Source organism: Homo sapiens, chromosome 2 (genome assembly GCF_000001405.40).
Source record: "Homo sapiens chromosome 2, GRCh38.p14 Primary Assembly".
Lineage (NCBI taxonomy): Eukaryota > Metazoa > Chordata > Mammalia > Primates > Hominidae > Homo > Homo sapiens.
In genome coordinates this window covers 73,703,652-73,724,915 of record NC_000002.12, presented here as the reverse complement: position 1 = coordinate 73,724,915, position 21,264 = coordinate 73,703,652, and the positions used below count along the sequence as shown (strand labels likewise).

The following is a 21,264-nucleotide window of genomic DNA, read 5'->3' as shown; positions in this document are numbered from 1 at the left end:
ACTCTTTTTGTTTGGTAAGCTATTGATTATTGCCACAATTTCAGAGCCTGTTATTGGTCTATTCAGAGATTCAACTTCTTCCTGGTTTAGTCTTGGGAGGGTGTATGTGTCGAGGAATTTATCCATTTCTTTTAGATTTTCTAGTTTATTTGCGTAGAGGTGTTTGTAGTATTCTCTGATGGTAGTTTGTATTTCTGTGGGATCGGTGGTGATATCCCCTTTATCATTTTTTATTGTGTCTATTTGATTCTTCTCTCTTTTCTTCTTTATTAGTCTTGCTAGCGGTCTATCAATTTTGTTGATCCTTTCAAAAAACCAGCTCCTGGATTCATTAATTTTTTGAAGGGTTTTTTGTGTCTCTATTTCCTTCAGTTCTGCTCTGATTTTAGTTATTTCTTGCCTTCTGCTAGCTTTTGAATGTGTTTGCTCTTGCTTCTCTAGTTCTTTTAATTGTGATGTTAGGGTGTCAATTTTGGATCTTTCCTGCTTTCTCTTGTGGGCATTTAGTGCTATAAATTTCCCTCTACATACTGCTTTGAATGTGTCCCAGAGATTCTGGTATGTTGTGTCTTTGTTCTCGTTGGTTTCAAAGAACATCTTTATTTCTGCCTTCCTTTCGTAATGTACCCAGTAGTCATTCAGGAGCAGGTTGTTCAGTTTCCATGTAGTTGAGCAGTTTTGAGTGAGTTTCTTAATCCTGAGTTCTAGTTTGATTGTGCTGTGGTCTGAGAGACAGTTTGTTATAATTTCTGTTCTTTTACATTTGCTGAGGAGAGCTTTACTTCCAACTATGTGGTCAATTTTGGAATAGGTGTGGTGTGGTGCTGAAAAAAATGTATATTCTGTTGATTTGGGGTGCAGAGTTCTGTAGATGTCTATTAGGTCCGCTTGGTGCAGAGCTGAGTTCAATTCCTGGGTATCCTTGTTAACTTTCTGTCTCGTTGATCTGTCTAATGTTGACAGTGGGGTGTTAAAGTCTCCCATTATTATTGTGTGGAAGTCTAAGTCACTCAGGACTTGCTTTATGAATCTGGGTGCTCCTGTATTGGGTGCATATATATTTAAGACAGTTAGCTCTTCTTGTTGAATTGATCCCTTTACCATTATGTAATGGCCTTTTTTGTCACTTTTGATCTTTGTTGGTTTAAAGTTTGTTTTATCAGAGACTAGGATTGCAACCCCTGCCTTTTCTTGTTTTCCATTTGCTTGGTAGATCTTCCTCCATCCTTTTATTTTGAGTCTATGTGTGTCTCTGCTCGTGAGATGGGTTTCCTGAATACAGCACACTGATGGGTCTTGACTCTTTATCCAATTTGCCAGTCTGTGTCTTTTAATTGGAGCATTTAGTCCATTTACATTTAAAGTTAATATTGTTATATGTGAATTTGATCCTGTCATTATGATGTTAGCTGGTTATTTTGCTCGTTAGTTGATGCAGTTACTTCCTAGCCTCAATGTTCTTTACAATTTGGCATGATTTTGCAATGGCTGGTACCGGTTGTTCCTTTCCATGTTTAGTGCTTCCTTCAGGAGCTCTTTTAGGGCAGGCCTGGTGGTGACAAAATCTTTCAGCATTTGCTTGTCTGTAAAGTATTTTATTTCTCCTTCACTTATGAAGCTTAGTTTGGCTGGATATGAAATTCTGGGTTGAAAATTCTTTTCTTTAAGAATGTTGAATATTGGCCCCCACTCTCTTCTGGCTTGTAGAGTTTTTGTCGAGAGATCAGCTGTTAGTCTGATGGGCTTCCCTTTGTGGGTAACCCGATCTTTCTGTCTGGCTGCCCGTAACATTTTTTCCTTCATTTCAACTTTGGTGAATCTGACAATTATGTGTCTTGGAGTTCCTCTTCTCGAGGAGTATCTTTGTGGCGTTCTTGTATTTCCTGAATCTGAATGTTGGCCTGCCTTGCTAGATTGGGGAAGTTCTCCTGGATAATATCTTGCAGAGTGTTTTCCAACTTGGTTCCGTTCTCCCCGTCACTTTCAGGTACACCAATCAGACGTAGATTTGGTCTTTTCACATAGTCCCATATTTCTTGGAGGCTTTGTTCATTTCTTTTTATTCTTTTTTCTCTAAACTTCCCTTCTCACTTCATTTCATTCATTTCATTTTCCATCACTGATACCCTTTCTTCCAGTTGATCAAATCGGCTCCTGAGGCTTCTGCATTCTACACATAGTTCTCGAGCCTTGGCTTTCAGCTCCATCAGCTCCTTTAAGCACTTCTCTGTATTGGTTATTCTAGTTATACATTCGTCTAAATTTTTTTCAAAGTTTTTAACTTCTTTGCCTTTGGTTTGAATTTCCTCCTGTAGCTCAGAGTAGTTTGATCGTCTGAAGCCTTCTTCTCTCAACTCGTCAAAGTCCTTCTCCTTCCAGCTTTGTTCCGTTGCTGGTGAGGAACTGCGTTCCTTTGGAGGAGGAGAGGCACTCTGCTTTTTAGAGTTTCCAGTTTTTCTGCTCTGTTTTTTCCCCATCTTTGTGGTTTTATCTACTTTTGGTCTTTGATGATGGTGATGTACAGATGGGTTTTTGGTGTGGTTGTCCTTTCTGTTTGTTAGTTTTCCTTCTAACAGACAGGACCTTCAGCTGCAGGTCTGTTGGAGTTTGCTAGAGGTCCACTCCAGACCCTGTTTCCCTGGGTATCAGCAGCAGTGGCTGCAGAATAGCGGATTTTCGTGAACCACAAATGCTGCTGTCTGATCGTTCCTCTGTAAGTTTTGTCTCAGAGGAGTACCCGGCCATGTGAGGTGTCAGTCAGTACCCCCTACTGGGGGGTGCCTCCCAGTTAGGCTGCTCGGGGGTCAGGGGTCAGGGACCCGACCCACTTGAGGAGGCAGTCTGCCCGTTCTCAGATCTCCAGCTGCGTGCTGGGAGAACCCCTGCTCTCTTCAAAGCTGTCAGACAGGGACATTTAAGTCTGCAGAGGTTACTGCTGTCTTTTTGTTTGTCTGTGCCCTGCCCCCAGAGGTGGAGCCTACAGAAGCAGGCAGGCCTCCTTGAGCTGTGGTGGGCTCCACCCAGTTTGAGCTTCCCGGCTGCTTTGTTTACCTAAGCAAGCCTGGGCAATGGTGGGCACCCCTCCCCCAGCCTCGCTGCCACCTTGCAGTTTGATCTCAGACTGCTGTGCTAGCAATCAGCGAGACTCTGTGGGCGTAGGACCCTCCGAGCCAGGTGCGGGATATAATCTCCTGGTGCGCCGTTTTTTAAGCCCATCGGAAAAGCGCAGTATTAGGGTGGGAGTGACCCGATTTTCCAGGTGCTGTCTGTCACCCCTTTCTTTGACTAGGAAAGGGAACTCCCTGATCCCTTGCGCTTCCCGAGTGAGGCAATGCGTCACCCTGCTTCAGCTCATGCACAGTGCACTGCACCCACTGTCCTGTGCCCACTGTCTGGCACTCCCTAGTGAGATGAACCTGGTACCTTAGATGGAAATGCAGAAATCACCCGTCTTCTGCGTCACTCACGCTGGGAGCTGTAGACCAGAGCTGTTCCTATTCGGCCATCTTGGCTGCCCTCCGCTTCCCTTGTTTTTAACAGGGAGAATTAAGCCTCTTCATTGTCTTTATTCTTTTTTTTTTTTTTCAATTGCCCTAACAGTTTCCGAGAGCAGTGTTCCGTGACTCCTCAGTTAAGCCACCAGTTCTTCCGAGCCCAACACAGGGTCTTTGGTGTGAAAATTTCTGTTTTTTCCTTATTGCTTTAAAAAAAAAAAAAAAAAACCAGCCACTCAGCTTGCTTAGTATTTTGCATAAACCTGCATTTCCCTTAAAGAAAACTTTAGCTCGAGGAAGTGAGGTGAGATGTGGTTAAGGCACCTCCCCAGGCTGGGCTGCTGGTTTGCCCCTGCCCCTCATATAGGCTTCCCTGGTCACCCCTCACTGTCGCAAAGTAAGACCTGAATATGAAAGCTTTCACATGCAGCCCAGATCCACGCACCTTTGGGTTTGCACTTCAGGCATTGTCTGCAGCAAGTGCTCAGTTCCAGGCCAGCTTCCAGAAGCTCCAAGACTCATCCCTTTATTCAGGAATTGAAAATGAACTGGAACTGAAGACTTTTAAACTGGAAGACATTTCAGAAATGATCAAATTTAATAGTTCCCAAGCTTTTGGAATCACAGAGACCTTTGAAGATCTGATGTAGAAAGTGAGCCCATAAATTTGCACACCATTGCGAGTTTAAGGAGCCGCTTTGGCGCCCACGAAGCAGCCCTTCATGTTTTAGTTGAGGAGGCTGCAGCTGAGCCCTGTCTCCTGAGGCAGAGGTCTGGGCTTTTAGTGGGAACAATAGCACCCACGTCACCGCAGGCAACAGAAGCTCACTGGCTACGCTAAGTCTGATTAAGAAAACTCCTGTGAGCGTTTTTGAGAGGCTGCATTTTAGAGGCTTTGTTTCAGGTTTTCTGTGTGGCCGATCAGTTCTATGTTCAAGGCTGGCTGCCAGGAGTGGACTTTAATTACTGGGCCTACACATCAGTGTCACAGAGAGGCAGACGAACTGCATCAATAGTCTCTTCCCTCTGTCCCACTGAGGGCAGTCTCAGTGACAGGAGCCTCTGTCCCTGACCCCAAACCGTTCTGTCCTCCACTCCGTGGGCTTCTGAAAGGAACAGAAAGGGCCAAGGCCAAACCCGCATCTGCACCTGGGGAAAGGAATCTCAGCAGAATCCGGGTGGCCCACAGTTCCCTTATCCTATGAGCCATGGGGTTCAGGGTTCAGGAAAACCCAACCAAGCGCCCTGCACCATGCTGTGAGGCTGCCCTAAGGCCTGCAATCCTGAGACCCCAACCAATGGAACAGGCCCCCTCTTAGTCAAGGGGACCCCAGGGAAACTTGAAAATGAATTCCTGGCCATGGTGGAAGGGGAGGTCAGAGACACCTCATGAAAGCCCTGCACCTTTGGAGTATAAAATAGGCATAGTTAGATTATTCAGACTGGACTCTGGACAATCAGTTACAGATTATGAACAAGACCTGAGGCCATGCAAGGCAAGAATTAACACACACCTAGAAACCACAGAGTCTCCTTCAATGGGTTGTAAAATCACTGAGGATACTGTGGCTGACTTTCCTACCTGACTCTGGGACAGCATCACGTGGCAGAGGCAGACCCTCTCTCTGAACTGAAGCATTCCTTTGTACCAACTTCACGTCTTTAGACAAAGCTGAACTCTCAACCAATTGCCAATCGGAAAATCTTTGAATCCACCTATGACCTATAACACCCCCGACTTCAAGATATCCCACCTTGTTAGGCCGAGTCAATGTACACCTTCCATGGATTGATTTATGATGTTACTCCAATTCCTGTCCCCTCAAATGTAGAAAACGACGGCCCCGGCACACGTTTTCAGGACCTCTTGAGATCCCCAGGCCATGGTCACTCATATTGGCTCAGAAGATACCTCTTACAGATCATTTAAGAGTGTGGTGTTTATGTTAACAAGCCCAACCACAGGCCTTGACATACCGTTTGCTCAGCTTGGGAATTCCCAGACCAGCTACAGGCCCCCGCCTTCTCCTCCCAACCAGCACACTCTTTGTCCCCATCCACCATCAGGTCCACCTGTGCTCACCTGGGTGGGCCTCTGCCGGCTGCCGATCTGCACCTGTTTCCCACCCCTCCTGACTTCAGAGTGCCCCCTCTGTGGGCAGTGCTCACTGTCACTCAGCCCCTCAGCCCCTGAGCTGCCTGGGGTTCTCCATCTCTATAGGGTGCTGGTATCCTCAGGCCAGGACTCCTTTAGTATAACCTGGCTCCTGCTATGAAATGTACAGTACCCAGAAAGTGTGACTGAGTCCCGATGTAAACCTTCCCTGTCACCTGGAATGCAGGGCATAGCCCTCACCTTTCTGCTGGTGGTGAGCAAGGAAGCAGAGAGCTTCAACTGGGTTGGCAAACACCCGATGTCCTATGCAGTGCCAGTCTTGGGAGGAAGCTGACGCCATGCACAGAATGGCAGAAAAACACCAGGTGAAACCCACTTTCAGGTCACCCTGTCTGTCTTCCTAGAGTTGGTGGTTTTTTGAGCCATTAGATCACCTCTATTACTTAAGGCAATTTTAGGTGGCTTTTTGATACCTGCAATGTAAAACTCCTGACTGTCAAGTTCAGTCTCCTAACAAAGTTATTCTGGATGTGACGTCTCCACCATTGTCCTGTTCCTGGAGCCCCATCAGGTGTGTCCTCCTGGGTGGCAGCCACGCCTCCGACATCTCGTGCCTTCATGCCAAGCCCAGGCCCAGCACACTGCAGATTCTCAGCCTGCTGGGCTCCCTTGCTCCAGGCTCATTCCCTGTGACCACACGGGGGAATACACTGGGGAATGCACTCCCTATTGTGTTACAGCCCAGCTCTTTGACCCTAGGGTTTATGATTATCAAAAATTAAGGAGCCAAGCAATGAGGGGGCAGCCAGCCTGCTTTCCAGGGATGGACGGGTCCTGGACACTATCTCCTGGATGCCAATGAGTGGCTGAGAGCTGAAGCTCCATGGACGCTCAAGGCTCTTGTGGTGACAGGTGAGGGGACTGGGTGGAAGGACAGTGCTCTGAGCATGCACCTTCCTTGGGATCTGGAGGCTGGGCTGTTTTTTGTGCTTGGCTCTTATGCCCCGTCAGCAACCTAAACACTTGTTATCAAGGGGGAAGGAGTCTTTGCTGAAACTTGTGCTTGGACACAGGATTTCTGTGATGTATGGTCCCTGGAGAAGGACTAAAGTGTTGGATATGTGGCCTGCCTGCGGTAGGTGCCCCCTCAATGCACCAAGAAGCTGAGAGAGCCAGGAAAAGGGAACAGAGGGAGGAGGGGTGGGTAGTTCATCTATCAAGGCTTTATAAAAGTTATTTCATTCAATCTTCAAAACAACTCTAGAAGGCAGGTTTTCTTCTCCCCTGTTCTATAGATGAAGAAGTGGAGGCTCAGAGAGGTTAAGTGACATGCCCAAGGTCACACAGCTAGAAAGGCATGGAGCCAGATTCCAATGCAGGTCTTTCTCATGCTACCTTCTCCCAGTGGCAGAGGCCTGCTTCCTCATGGGCAAACGCGGAAAGACACACCCTTAAGCAGGTCTCCCTGTTCCTGCAAGGCTGGAAGCCATGCAGGCACTCAGATGGTTTCCTCTCTCTTCCCCAGGCCTGGCGTAAAGGCGTGCAGGGAGGCCTAGCTCTGTCTCCCAGACTTAGAGATTTCCCCAAGAAATGTGTGGTTCAAACCAGGGACGCCAAGGAGTTCAAACCAGGAGACGCCAGGGCCACAAGTCTTGGGCATGTGGCCTCCCTAGAGGCATGTTTTCCTTCTTCGATCTAGACTCCATATTTTCCACAGGAACAAACCAGGAAATTCCTGCAGGAAATAGTTTTTAGAAGGAAAACAGATTTTTCACTTTTTTACAGCCCCACCCAGCTTTCATCAAGGACATGCATGTAATACAGGCTCTCAGGGGTCTCAGCTGTCAGTGGCCACAGGGTGCCCTTGAGTCTGGTTTCACTGCAGGGATGACTGTGGAACTGCAGTGCTGGATACTTTGAAAACCTGACAAGGTGGTGGCTGGGGGTAGGTGAGTCCACACAGTGTCACTTGGAAACAAAGAATCTTAGCATTGTAGGTGTTAAAAGAAAAACTTTAGCCAAATTAAATTTAAAAGACTTTGAGCAAAAAATGATTCGTGAATCAGGCGGCCTCCTGAGCCAGAATAGGCTCAGAGACTCCAGTGCACCCATGTGGTGGAAGATGATTTATGGACACAAAATGATAAGCAGTGTATGGAAGGTGGAAGTAAGCCACAGAAACAGCCGGATTGGTTCCAGCTCGACGTTTGCCTTATTTGAACATGGTTTGAACACTGGGCCACCTTTGATTGGTCAAAACATGGTGAGTGGCAAAGAGTAGGCTATAGTCCATTTACAAGCCCATTTAGGTTACAGTTTGTGGAGTACAGAGAACCCTTTAGGACGAATTTAAAATATGTAAGGAAGCAGTAGGCTAAACTTACTTAACACAAGGAACTTGAAATTCACTAGTTTCTCTGCCACAAAATCTGGAAGGAGAAACTGACCTTCACGGGAATTCTCCTTGTTCCTTTTTAACTTTTGTCCCCAGGAAACAAAGAGCACTTTCACTTCAAGTTTTTCTTCTGACCAAGAAGCAGTCACATCACTGTCCTCTTCTAGTTTAGCCTCACTGGAACTTGGAGTCTGGGAAGTTATCATGATATTGTGTGTTTTTTGGCACTGTTCACAGTCTCCAAGTTACCCGAGGACATCTCTGGGAGCAGCCTTGAGGCTGAGTGGGCAGGTTTATTCAAGTAAGGAAGGGAACCCTTTTTAATGTTTCACACACAGAATGCCTTTGTGTGGGGTGAGGGATGGGAGGAGAAGGAGAGAAAGAGAAGGAAGGAGGGGGAGAGGGAGGAAGAAAAGTTTTTTATTTCTAGGTCAGTTTAGACATTAGCGGGAAAGAAGAACTAATATGGGCTCAAAGGGTAAAGGATTTCGATTTAGATGCCAAGTGGGAAAGACAAACCCCAAGTCCTGCCGGCAGTCACCCCGGTAAGGAAGTGGTGGACAGAAGTAAAGACAGGACCCAAGAGGAGAAGGCAATCAAGAGGGAGGTTTACTTGCGTTTGATAAAATTTAAAGTGTGTAGAAAGGCATCATTGGAAAAGCTTCCCTTCCACTCCTGTTCTCCATTCACTCTGTTCACAACCCTACAGGATTTCAGAGAATTGTTTTACATTCAAGCAATTCTCTTCCCTCCTTTATTTGTTAAAAAAACGCAAGTTGTAGTATGATACACACTGCTCTGCACTTTTGATTTTTTTTTAAATTATGTGTCTTGGAGATCTTTCCATACTGGTATAGACAGACCTTCCTCATTCTATGTAGGACTTCATTATCTGGATATACAGTAATTTATTTAACAGTTTGTCTACTGATGGACAGATAAACTGTTTTAATTTTCTGCTATAACAAACTGCTTCAGTCGTTAATTTTGTACACTATTTTGCACATATGCAAGTATCTATAGCTTAAATTCCACATGTGCACAGTATATCATAAATTCCAAAAGTAAAAATGCTGGGTGAGCTGGGTGCAGTGGCTCACACCTGTAATCCCAGCACTTTGGGAGGCCGAGGCAGGCAGATCACTTGAGCTCAGGAGTTCGAGACTAGCCTGTGCAATATGGTGAAACCTCGTCTCTACCAAAAAATACAAAAATTAGCCGGGTGGTGGCACATGCCTGTACTCCCAGCTACTCAGGAGGCTGAGGTGGGAGGATCACTTGAGCCTGGGAGACGGAGGCTGCAGTGAGCTAAGATCATGCCACTGCACTCCAGCCTTGGTGACAGAGTGAGACCCTGTTTCAAAAATAAAAATAAAATTCTGGGCGAAAGTAATTTAGATAGGAACTGTTAAATTACCTTTCACAATGAACCAACTTCTACTCCCACAAGAATATATAAGGGACTCTATTTCCCTACACTCTTGCCATCAAATTTGAATTTTTGATAATCTGGTGAAAAAAGGCAGTTGGATACAGTTTTAATCTTCATTTGAGAGAGGTTGCGTATCTTACATATTTAAGAGCCATTTGTATTTCAATGGAAAAGTTTGAATTTAAGTAATTGTTTTGCATGTATGCTCTTATTTAATTTGTGCTTGTTGCAAAGTGCAGACTTTGAGCACAAGAAACTACTGGTAGACGATGAAATAGAGCAAATCACATGTTTTCCTACCTGGAAAAAGAAAAGAAACCTTGGTATCATTACTGCAACCAATGTCAGTTACCCACAGGATAAGCAAGCCTACAAGTCTCCAGGAGCCCTTTTTAATCCAATTCAAACTGTTCAGATGTAGTTGGGGGAAGCCTGAGACAATGTGAACATGCTGCCATGTATCTGTAATTGTTGTAGTTGGATAGGACCTGAGCTCTTGCAAGATGATAAGACAAAAAAATCCTGGCTGTATTCGTGGGGCTTGGAACAACTCTGATGGGGATGTTAATTTTTCATATGATAGAGTCAATAGATACTGTTTCGTGTCTGAGAGTGATAGATTGAGAAAGTGGTTGAAGCATATCAGTTAATTAGATTACATGGCTACTAAGTTATCAGAAAAACAGCTCAAAGAAGCATACATTATGGCTGGGCGCGGTGGCTCACACCTGTAATCCCAGCACTTTGGGAGGCTGAGGCAGGCAGATCATGAGGTCAGGAGTTCGAGACCAGCCTGACCAACATGGTGAAACCCCATCTCTACTAAAAATACAAAAATTAGCCAGGCATGGTGGCGGGCACCTGTAATCCCAGCTGCTCAGGAGGCTGAGGCAAGAGAATCGCTTGAACCTGGGAGGTGGAGGTTGCAGTGAGTCAAGATCGTGCCACTGCACTCCAGCCTGGGTGACAGAGCGAGACTCAGTCTCCAAAAAAAAAAAAAAAAAAAGAAAAGAAAAAAAGAAACATATATTACATAGTAATAAAAAAAGATTGGAAATGGCAATAAATCTGTAAAAATCATAAGATATCCTGGATAGCCAAAACAATTTTGAAAGAGAACAACAATGTTGGAGGACTCACACTACAACAATGTTGGAGGACTCACACTTCCTGATTCTAAAACATATTACTGGCTGGGCACAGCATCTTTCAGACGTGTAATCTCAGGACTTCTGGAGACCCAGGCTGGAGGATCACTTGAGCCCAGGAGTTTGATACCAGCCTGGGTAACATAGTGAGATCCCCATCTCCACCAAAAAAAAAAAAAACAAAAAAAACAAAAATAAAAAACAAAAACAGGATTAAAATATGAACCAGTAATTTCGCTCCTAGGTATACATTGAAAGAATTGATAATAGGTATTCAAATAACTGCTTGTATGTGAATGTTCACAGCAGCATCATTCACAATAACCAAAAGATAGAAACAACCTTAATGTCCATCAATGAATGAATGGATAAACAAAGTGCGGTATAAACATACATGGAATTTTGAGCCCTAAAAAGGAATGAAATACTGATGCATGATGCAACACGAATGAATTCTGAAAACATTAACTGAAAGAAGCCACACATAAAAGGTCAGATATTGTACAATTCCATTTATATGAAACATCCACGATAAATAAATCCATAGAGACAGAAAGCAGATTAGGTTGCCAGGGATTGGGGAGAGAGGGAAATAAGGGGGAACCACTTAATAAACAAGGAATTTCCTTTTGCAGTGATAAAAATGATTCGGAACCAGAAAGGGGTGGTCGTTGCACAACATTGTGAATGTACTAAATGCCACTGAATTGTGCACATTAATTGGATTAATTGAAATAATAAAACCGGACGCGGGTCTTACCTTTAGGAGCTCACAATCACACTTGAGTCCCTGAGTCCCTTTAGACTTCCAAGATTCAGTTTCACTGTCTGAAAGCAGGGCCAAGTGCCTAGAATGTGCAAAGACCTTCAGAGTTTATCTTTTATGCAGAGAATCCCCCACAATTCCTCTTTTCAGAGGTAACTGCTACCAACATTTGGTGGAACCACTCAGACTTTTCTCTCTGCATGCTTGTTTGTGGATATCATTTTTCAATACCATTTTTCCAAAAATAAATCCAAACATATTGTTTTATAATCTTTTCTTGCTTGTTGCTATAGTTGGGCAATGTTTTTCATGTCAGTAAACCCTCATCAGCATTGGTCATGGCTGTGAGGTACTGTGCTACAGAAATAGAGCAGGATTTATTCAGCCAGTCCCCTCTTGTTGCACTTTAGGTTGCTTCTGTGTCAATAAACTTTACAGTGATAAACATCCTTATACAAACATCTTTGCACATTTGACCAGTTACTTTCTTGAGCTCTAACCCTAGAAGTTGAATTTGGATCAAGTCTTTTCAAAGGATTTTGAGGTCGAGCAGGGTGGCTCACTCCTGTAATCTCAGTGTGTGGGAAGACTGCTTAAGCCCAAGGATTAGGGACCAGCCTGGTCAATATAGCAAGACCCCGTCTCTAAAAAAAACCTTTTTTTTAATTAGCCAGTTGTGGTGGTGGGTGCCTGTAGTCCCAGCTGCTTGGGAGGACAAGGGCAGAGGATCACTTGAACCTGTAAGTTTGAGGTTACAGTGAGTTATGACCTTGCCACTGCACTCTGGCCTGAGCAATGGGGTGAGACTCTATTTTGATTTAAAAAAAGGATTTTGACATGCTGTGTAATGATTCTCCAGCAAGGATCTCCCATTTCAGTATTCCATCAAAAGTGTGTGTGTCTGCACATTTCTTTGTGCTTGTCCTACATTAGCTCATACCATTCTTTTAATTCTTTACCATAATGATAGGTAAAACCTAGATAGTATTTTGATTTTTATTTGATTTCTAGTGAGTTTTTGTATATTCTTTTTTGTACACTTTTAAAATATATTCATAAACCATATTTGCTTCTTCTTTAAAAATTCTCCATTCTTATCCAGAGTCCATTCTATCCATTTGGCATTTTTTTCCTATTAATTATTAGGAAGGAAACATGAACTTTTCTGTTTTGAGGAAAGCTTCCATTTGAGGAACACTCAAAATGAAAGCTTGAAAAAGAACCATCAAAGAGGGAAAGACAGACCAGGAGAGAAGGGGGTATGAAATGAAGAGCCATGTGTTACAGCAGTTGGGTGGCTGCTGGACCCAGAAACCTCCTCAGTTGACATTATTTGCCTGACTCTTAGTTGCTCTGGTAGGAGCCAGTCTCTTGCACCTCTCTGCTCTGATCTTATTTCCCTTACATCTAAGCTCTTGGACTGACTCCAGTGCCTTAGTCCATTCGGGCTGCTGTAACACAATTACCATAAACTGGTCAACACTTTACATTTAGCTTGTAAACAGAAATTTATTTCTCACAGCTCTGGAGGCTGGGAATCCAAGATTAAAGTGCCAGTAGATTTATGTCTGGTGAGGACCTGTTCCTCATAGATGGTACCTTCTGTGTATCCTCACATGGCAGAAGGGGCAAACAAGCTCCCTTGGGCCTTTCTGTAAGGGCACTGATCCCATATGTGAAGACTTCATCCTCACGACCTAATCACCTCCCAAGACCCCACCTCTGAATACCATCACCTTGGGGATGAGGTTTCAACATAGGAGTTTTGGGGGGACATATTCAGTCCATAGCACCCAGGTACTGCAAGCAGCTGTATGAATGGAGGAACTCCCTCAGCATTCAGCATGTTTGAGGACTATAAAGCATTCCTGGTACTTGGCAGTTAGGAGGCCCCTGATGATCTTACCAGGGGTGGTTTTAGAGGGTCCGTGGAGGCAGCAGCCAGCAGTGAGGAGTGGAAATGAGGTAGCTCCATGTGGAGGTCAGCCTGCTCTTCTGGGCTGTGAGTGAGAGCACCATTCGGAGGTAATGGAGGTGAGAGAGCTGCACTGGCCATCTTTGGAGTGGGGCCCGGGGACAGTGTGAGTGAGTCTTCCCTCCAATTAGCAACTGCCTTCCTGTGCGTGTCCGAGTGCAAGGGGTGCTTTCTATGGGGTATAGAAGAATCCTGGGTAATAGATAAGGATGGAGTTCAGATGCCGTAGGGTGATACTGAGCCTGGAAGCCTGTAAGTTTCATCACAGAACTGGCTCCTCATTGGCTTTCTTCTTCTCCCCCAGCTCCACCCTGTCAGATTCTGTCCTTACTGAACAGAAGAGGCAACTACTGGACAACGGCTTATCATTTCTCTCCCCCTCAAAGAACAATGCCTCTTCTCTGACCCTCACTCTTAGTTGGTAATATCCTTTCCTAGTTCATTGTTAAAAACCAAGACACAACAGAAGAGGCAATGGAGAGAACTTCTGCCAAGCCCAGCACATAACACACTGTCAGTCCCTGTTCACATTCCTGCCTGCCCCTTTTGCTTGACTGTCTCATACGGGCCAGCCCCTCCCAACCAGTCAAGAGCACCGTCCCAAAGGTATCCCCACCCCTATACCGTCACTATTTGGCTTGCCTCTGGATCTCTTCAGCAAACAATTATTTCACCTACATCCCAGGAAGCAAAACCTTATTTTACTTTAACTCTTATTTTAGGTTCAGGGGTACAGGTGCAGGTTTGTTATATTGGTGAATTCATGTCATGGGGGTTTATGGTACAGATTATTTCATTACCCAGGTACTAAGACTAGTACTCAAAATTATTTTTCTGCTCCTCTCCCTCCTCCCACTCTCCACCCTGGGGAAGGCCCCAGTGTCTGTTGTTTCCTTCTTTGTGTTCATAAGTTCTCATCATTTAGCTCCCACTTATGAGTGAGAACACATGGTGTTTGATTTTTTTTTTTCCTTTTTTTGAGGCTGAGTTTCCCTTTTGTTGCCCAGGCTGGAGTGCAATGGCGTGATCTCAGCTCACCGCAGCTTCTGCCTCCTGGGTTCAAGTGATTCTCCTGCCTCAGCCTCCAAAGTAGCTGGGATTACAGGCATTCACCACCAAACCTGGCTAATTTTTTTAATTTTTAGTAGAGTCGGGGTTTCTCCATGTTGGTCAGGCTGGTCGCAAACTCCCGACCCCAGGTGATCCACCCACTTCGGCCTCCCAAAGTGCTGGGATTACAGGCGTGAGCCACCGCACCCAGCCTGGTTTTCTGTTCCCGTGTTAGTTTGGTAAAGATAAGGGCCTCCAGCTCCATCCATGTTCCTGCAAAATACATGATCTTGTTCTTTTTAATGGGTGCATAGTATTCCACGGTGTATATGTACCACCTTTTCTTTATCCAATCTGTCATTAATGGGCATTTAGGTTGACTGCATGTCTTTGCTATTGTGAATACTGCTGCAATGAACATTCACATGCATCTCTATGGTAGAACGATTTCTATTTCTCTGGATATATACCTAGTAATAGGATTGCTGAGTCAAACGGCAGTTCTGTAACAAATCTTTTTGACTGCACCCTCCTCTGCAGCTGCCAGGCATCTCCCTGTTTCACTCTGTGGCAAAACTGCTCCATGGTGTCCTCTGCACTCAGCTCCAGTTCCTCTCCTGTGAAACCTTCCCCTGTCAGGAGGTCTTTGGGGACCACTGAACCAACGCTGCTCCTGTCAAGGTCATCAGTCATCCCCATGTTGCTGCATCCTGTGGTCAATATCAGTCACTTCCCAGGCCCCATCTCACTTGACCCATCACAGAAGCCTTCGACTCTGTTGATATTTGTACCATGAACTTTATTCCACAAATAATAAAGAAAGGTTTTGAAAACCAGATCGTGTCATCAGTTTTTAAAATTATGTTATAATGGATACATACAAAAGAAACTGTGGAATGCATATATTAATATTCAGGTTAGATACAAATGTGCCCTTCCCACCCTGTTGAGTCTTACACATGTGGGGATATTATTCCCTTGCACAAATTAGGAGAGGGGGGTCAGAGAGGTTAAGACACCTGCAGGAGGCAGAGCTAGGATTTGAACCCAACTCTGACTCTAAAATCTGTATTTCATCCAGTAGGCAGCACTGCCCTCAAGGAAGATCCAGGTTTTTTGGAGCCTGAGGTAAATACATTTCAGAGCCTGTTTGCAAAATATAAATTGTAAAACCACAGTAGGTTTTTTTTTTTTTGTAAGGTGCTGGTGCAGGGGAAAGAGGAACTTTGAAGCTTAAGATTTGTTAGCTTCCCAATAAAACGTGTCTCTTCTCTGTTCCTGCCCTACTGGGAATACCCAAACTGGCTGTCTGTTGTTTACTCACTCAACACGCACTTACCGAGCACCTAATATCTGTCAGGCTTGTTCTGGGCACTTAACATACATGAGTGAACCGAAGAGCCAAAGATCCCTGCTTGCAGAGCCTACTAAATACAAATCAACAACAGATGCATATCCTTAGCATTTAGAGCAGGTTAGAGGTGATAAGAAAACTTAGAGCCAGCTATGGGGATAGGGAATGGCCAGGTAGGCTAGGGGTGAAGTGCACTGTGAAATAGGGTGTTCTGGGTAGGACTGGCTGAGAGGAAGGCCTGGGATCAGGGTGTGGTAGAAACCTAGTCACCCTTGAGGCTGCCGGGAAGGTACCCTGCTGATTGGTTATGAGGCACTTATGGCCTTGATCAGCAGATTGGCCTAAAGTACCTAGGGCTGAGTGGTCCGGGGCAAAAGATCGGCCCAAGGCGAAGCAGCCTTGTCTGGTGATCCCAACAGCAGGAACACACCTGTGTGTGCCACCAGCCTTGGCCCAACTTCCAGCGGCAGCAAGAGCTGTGGAGCCCCAGGTCGGCTGCCTGAGGCCAGTTATGCACAAGCGGGGTCCCCCGCCCCAGCTCTCCTGGTGGACAATGACAGGATATGAGAAGTTGGCAATGATGCTGTTCCCTAGGGAGAAGAGCTGAGGGGTGGCAAGAAGGGCCTAACCCAGCAATGGGGTCTGGGTGGGGGACACGTATCTGGAGCCCAGATGCAGCCAGCCAGGGGTGGGGGAGCACAGGCTCAGGGGTGGCTCCTGTGCAGGGACCTGACTGATGGCTTCAGGTGTGGGTGGTCACTCAGAGGGACGCCTCGGCAGAACTCGGGCCCTTCTTCTTGGTGGAGGCCCAGTTGGGGGAGGGGTGCACCAGCGGGACAGAGAAGGGTCTTTCCAGGGGGACCAGGGGGCACATGTGGAGCCTGGGCAGACGGGGTGGCCAGGGTGGGACCCATACCCCTGCTCCACAGGAACCCCCAGCTCCCCAGGGCACCCCATCCCCCCCACCCCCGCCCACAGTGAACCTGCCACTGTGGCCTCCAGTGGGCCTCCAGTGGGCCAAGAGCCTGCACGTGGGAGGGGGAGTCAGAAATGCAACTTCAAGGAGTCAGCCCCAGTTGCCTGGGCAGGTTGGCGGCCCCAGCCCAGAGCCATGGCTTCCTGGGCACCCCCACCCCATCCCTGTCCCTGTCCGGTTCCCAGGAGAGGGCTCCATCTCCTTCCTCCTAGTTCACATTCACCTTGACCAACACCTGGCACCCTGGTGGGACCCCCAACCCCAGTCTCCCTTGGGGGTGCTCTGGACTAGCAGGGCCAGGGCTCTTGGGGCCCCCTGAGGTGGAGAGGGGGCACAGGGTGGGACTAGGGTATGGGTAACCGCCACACACAGTCATCCAGGAGTGTCAGCAATGAAAGAAAATGAGTTCCTCTTTCCAGACAGTATGGGGTCTTCCAGATAGTGTTTCTGCTACTGCTGAACTGAGGGAACTGAGTGCATGAGCCTTGGGGAAGGCCTAGGCATGGGTTCTAAACTCCTTCCCAGCTGCCTGACCCCCAGAGCCCATCCTCTGGTCGTGGAGAAATGGAATTACAAATAAAATCTTCTCCCATCCCAGCAAGCCTCTCTGCAGAGGAAGAAGAGAAAGAAAAACACTTTTATCCTTGAAAAAGGATTAACCCAGAGTGAGATGCGCATCACGGGCAATGATCCGCTAAGAAGCTGCAAAGACAGACAGAAATCTCACCGCTAATCTAGCCAGTGGGTCCAAACCATTGCACACGTTCTCAAGAGAAGCCATGCCTAGTCCTCAGGTCAGGGGGCCTGCACAGCACTTTTGGTCACACCGAGTTTACAGAGATTCAACCTCAATTCACTCGACAACCTGCGTCTGCTATTTGACTTCATACAAAGGAAAAACAACCCTTATCTTTATGATAGGAGGTAGATTTATCACACAGGGCAAAAGTTAGGTTCCTGCCCTCCCATGGAGACTGGGAGATAGGGACCTGGCTGCTCTGATGATAACGTTTCAAAGATTGGGATCCCAGGTCCTTCAGGAACACAGTCCTGGGTTGCAAAGCTGGCAAGAGGCTTATTTAGCTGTCAAAAAGCTTTGCATGCCCCTCAAAGGGGCAGAGGAAGGATTTAAAATGACAAGTTTTCCAAACAAAATGCTCTAAGAAAAGGGACAGAGGATACCTCTTCCTTTAACAAGAAGAATTAAGCCTCTTCATTGTTTTTCGTTTTTTTTTTTTTTTCCCTAACATTGTTTCTGAGAGCATTGCCCCATGACTCCTGAGATGTGCCACCAGTTCTGCCGAGCCTAACACAGGGTCTTTGGAGTGAAAAGTTCTGTTTTTCCTTATTGCTTAAAAAATTAAAATCTCAGCTTGTTAGTATTTTGTATAAATCTGCACGTTCCCTTCAAGAAAACCTTATCTCTGAGGAAGTGAGGTGAGAGGTGGTTAAGGCAGCTCCCAGGCTGCCTTGGTTTGCCCCCGCCCCTCATATAGGCTTCCCTGGTCACCCCTCACTGTCGCAAAGTAAGACCTGAATATGAAAGCTTTCACATGCAGCCCAGATCTACGCACCTTTGGGTTTGCACTTCAGGCACTGTCTGCAGTAAGTGCTCAGTTCCAGGCCAGCTTCCAGAAGCTCCAAGACTCATCCCTTTATTCAGGAATTGAAAATGAACTGGAACTGAAGACTTTTAAACTGGAAGACATTTCAGAAATGATCAAATTTAATAGTTCCCAACCTTCTGGGATCGCAGACACCTTTGAAGATCGGATGTAGAAAGTGAGCCCACAAATTTGCACACCATTGCAAGTTTAAGGAGCCGCTGTGGTGCCCACGAAGCAGCGCTTCATGTTTTAGTTGAGTAGGCTGCAGCTGAGCCCTGTCTCCCGAGGCAGAGGTCTGAGTTTTTAATGGGAACAATAGCACCCATGTCACAGCAGGCAACAGAAGCTCACTGGCTACACCAAGTCTCATTTAGAAAACTCTGGGCCTGGCGTGCTGACTCCTGCCTGTAATCCCAGCACTTTAGGAGGCCGAGGCAGGCAGATCACGAGGTCAGGAGTTCGAGACCAGCCTAACAAACATGGTGAAACCCTGTATCTACTAAAAATACAAAAATTAGCCGGGCATGGCGGCGTGTACCTGTAGTCCCAGCTACTTGGGAGGGTGAGGCAGGAGAATCACTTGACTGGCATGAATGTTAAAATAGGCATCATTAGATTATTCAGAATGGACTCTGTGACAATCAGTAACAGATTATGAACAAGACTTAAGGCCTTGCAAGGCAAGAATTAACACACACCCTAGAAACCACAGAGTCTCCTTCAGTGGGGTTTAAATTGACCCAGGATACTGTGGCTGACTTTCCTACCTGACTCTGGGACAGCATCACGTGGCAGAGGCAGACCCCTCTCTCTGAACTGAAGCATTCTTTTGTACCAACTTCACGGTCTTTAGACAAAGCTGAACTCTTTCAACCAATTGCCAATCGGAAAATCTTTGAATCCACCTGTGATCTATAATGCCCCCTGCTGCTTCACAATATCCCACCTTGTTAGGCCCAGTCAATGTACACCTTCCATGGATTAATTTATGATGTTACTCCAATTCCTGTCCCCTCAAATGTAGAAAACGACGGCCCCAGCACACGTTTTCAGGACCTCTTGAGATCCCCAGACCGTGGTCACTCATATTGGCTCAGAAGATACCTCTTTCAGATCATCTAACAGTTTGATTTTTCTGTTAACAGGCACCACCACAGGCCTTGGCACACCTTTCGCTCAGCTTGGGTTTCCCAAACCGGCTACCGGCCCCCAGCCCTCCACTCCCAACCAGCACACTCTTCATCGCACCAGCAACTCCACCTGTGCTCATGTGGGTGGGCCTCTGTTGGCTGCCGATCTGCACCCGTTTCCCACCCCTCCTGACTGCAGGGCACCCCCTCTGTGGGCAGTGCTCACTGTCACTCAGCCCCTCAGCCCCTCAGCCCTTGAGCTCCCTGGGGCTCTCCATCTCTATGGGGTGCTGGCATCCTTCGGCCAGGACTCCTTTAATATAACCTGGATTCTGCTATGAAATGTACAGTCCCCAGAAAGTGTGACTGAGTCCCCATGTAAACCTTCTCTGTCACCTGGAATGTGGGGAATAGCCCCCACCTTTCTGCTGTTGGTGAGCAAGGAAGCAGACAGCTTCAACTGGGCTGGCAAACACCCGACATCCTATGCAGTGCCAGTCTTGGCAGGAAGCTGATGCCACCCACAGAATGGCAGAAAAACCAACAGGTCAAACCCACTTTCAGGTCACCCTGTCTGTCTTCCTGGAGTTGGCAGTTTCATGGGCCATTAGATCACCTCTCTTACTTATGACAATTTTAGGTGGCTTTTCAACAAGTGCAACATAAAAGTCCTAACTGTCAAGTTCAACCCTCCTAACAAAGTTATTCCGGATGTGATGTCTCCACCATCATCCTGTTCCCAGAGCCCCATCAGGTGTGTCCTCCTGGGCGGCAGCCTCGCTTCCAACATCTGGTGCCTTCATGCCAAGTCCAGGCCCGGCACACCTCAGGTCCTCGGGAACTGTTTGTTGAATGAATAAATGAATCTTTCAGGTCTGACAAGGAAAGCCCAGGCTTTTATCAGGAAAGCTACAAAAATGCAGAAGTCACAGTAGATCCTGGGAGCAAGAGATGCCTGAATGTCAAGTGAGGTCGCTGTGTTTTGAGGAAGCCACAGCCACGGGTGAGCATGGAGGAAGAGACAGCACACAGGGACGGAGCACAAACCTCTCCCCCTCCAAGTGACCGGCAGGTTTCTGACTCTGAATATTGGTCAGACTCACACTAGAAGTACTCAGTGGTGCTTTGAAGCAGCTGCTCACCTCTTGTAATTCCTAGGCCAACTCCTGCTTGACACTGAACTGTTCTGAGAACACTCTAAAGATAAGCCATGGACTTCCTGCCCAGACTTGATGCTCCTTAGACTTTTCCTCGGAGGTGGTGTTGGGTACCAAAGATCTGGAATCTCAGCAGCCTCCACTGGCTGGCCCTGGGTTCCTGCTGCTGACTCCCAGCCTCTGGTTTCTGCTGAGGAAGGCTGCAGGGCAGCACCTTTAGGGGAAGCCTTGACTTTTCCAGATCTGGGCTCTCTCCAGTGTTTTCCTGAATGCCCCTACCAGAAGCCTGGCTGTCATCTCTGAGCCCTTCCTCATCCTCCTCCCTGTGTGAATCATTCCAACTCCTGCCATTTCTGCCCCAAGTGCACCTCCATGTGGCTCATGTCTCACATTCTTGACTTCCTCCCTCTGTTGAAGCCACTGCTGTCTCATGGGCCTCTGCTAGCCCAGGCGGCTTCTTTGTGAACACAGAGCTAGGCACAGCCTCAAGCCATGCAGTCCACTGGATGCAGAGTTTAGCAGGCAAGCAATGCCTTCGAGCAAATAAGAAAAGGTTGCCTTTTCCTTTGGCCAGTCTCAGTTTCGTGCCATGGCTCATGGCTTGGCAACGGGAGGCCCGATTTTAGCTCCTACCAGCCCCTCTGGGCCAGCTGCTCTTGTACAG

General features: G+C 46.7%; 2 long non-coding RNA genes across 2 annotated transcripts; one reads left to right on the top strand and one right to left on the bottom strand.

The window, feature by feature from the left end:
* Nucleotides 1-3,558: 3,558 nt before the first annotated feature.
* Nucleotides 3,559-4,029, bottom strand: LOC124905592 (uncharacterized). Its single transcript, XR_007087069.1, has 2 exons — nucleotides 3,940-4,029; nucleotides 3,559-3,700 (listed from the first exon to the last, which is right to left on the bottom strand). It is a non-coding gene; the product is annotated as an uncharacterized LOC124905592 (long non-coding RNA).
* Nucleotides 4,030-6,439: 2,410 nt separating this feature from the next.
* LOC124907848 (uncharacterized) lies at nucleotides 6,440-15,212 on the top strand. The gene is made up of 2 exons (XR_007087073.1): nucleotides 6,440-6,522; nucleotides 14,917-15,212. It is a non-coding gene; the product is annotated as an uncharacterized LOC124907848 (long non-coding RNA).
* The last annotated feature ends 6,052 nt before the right edge of the window (nucleotides 15,213-21,264 follow it).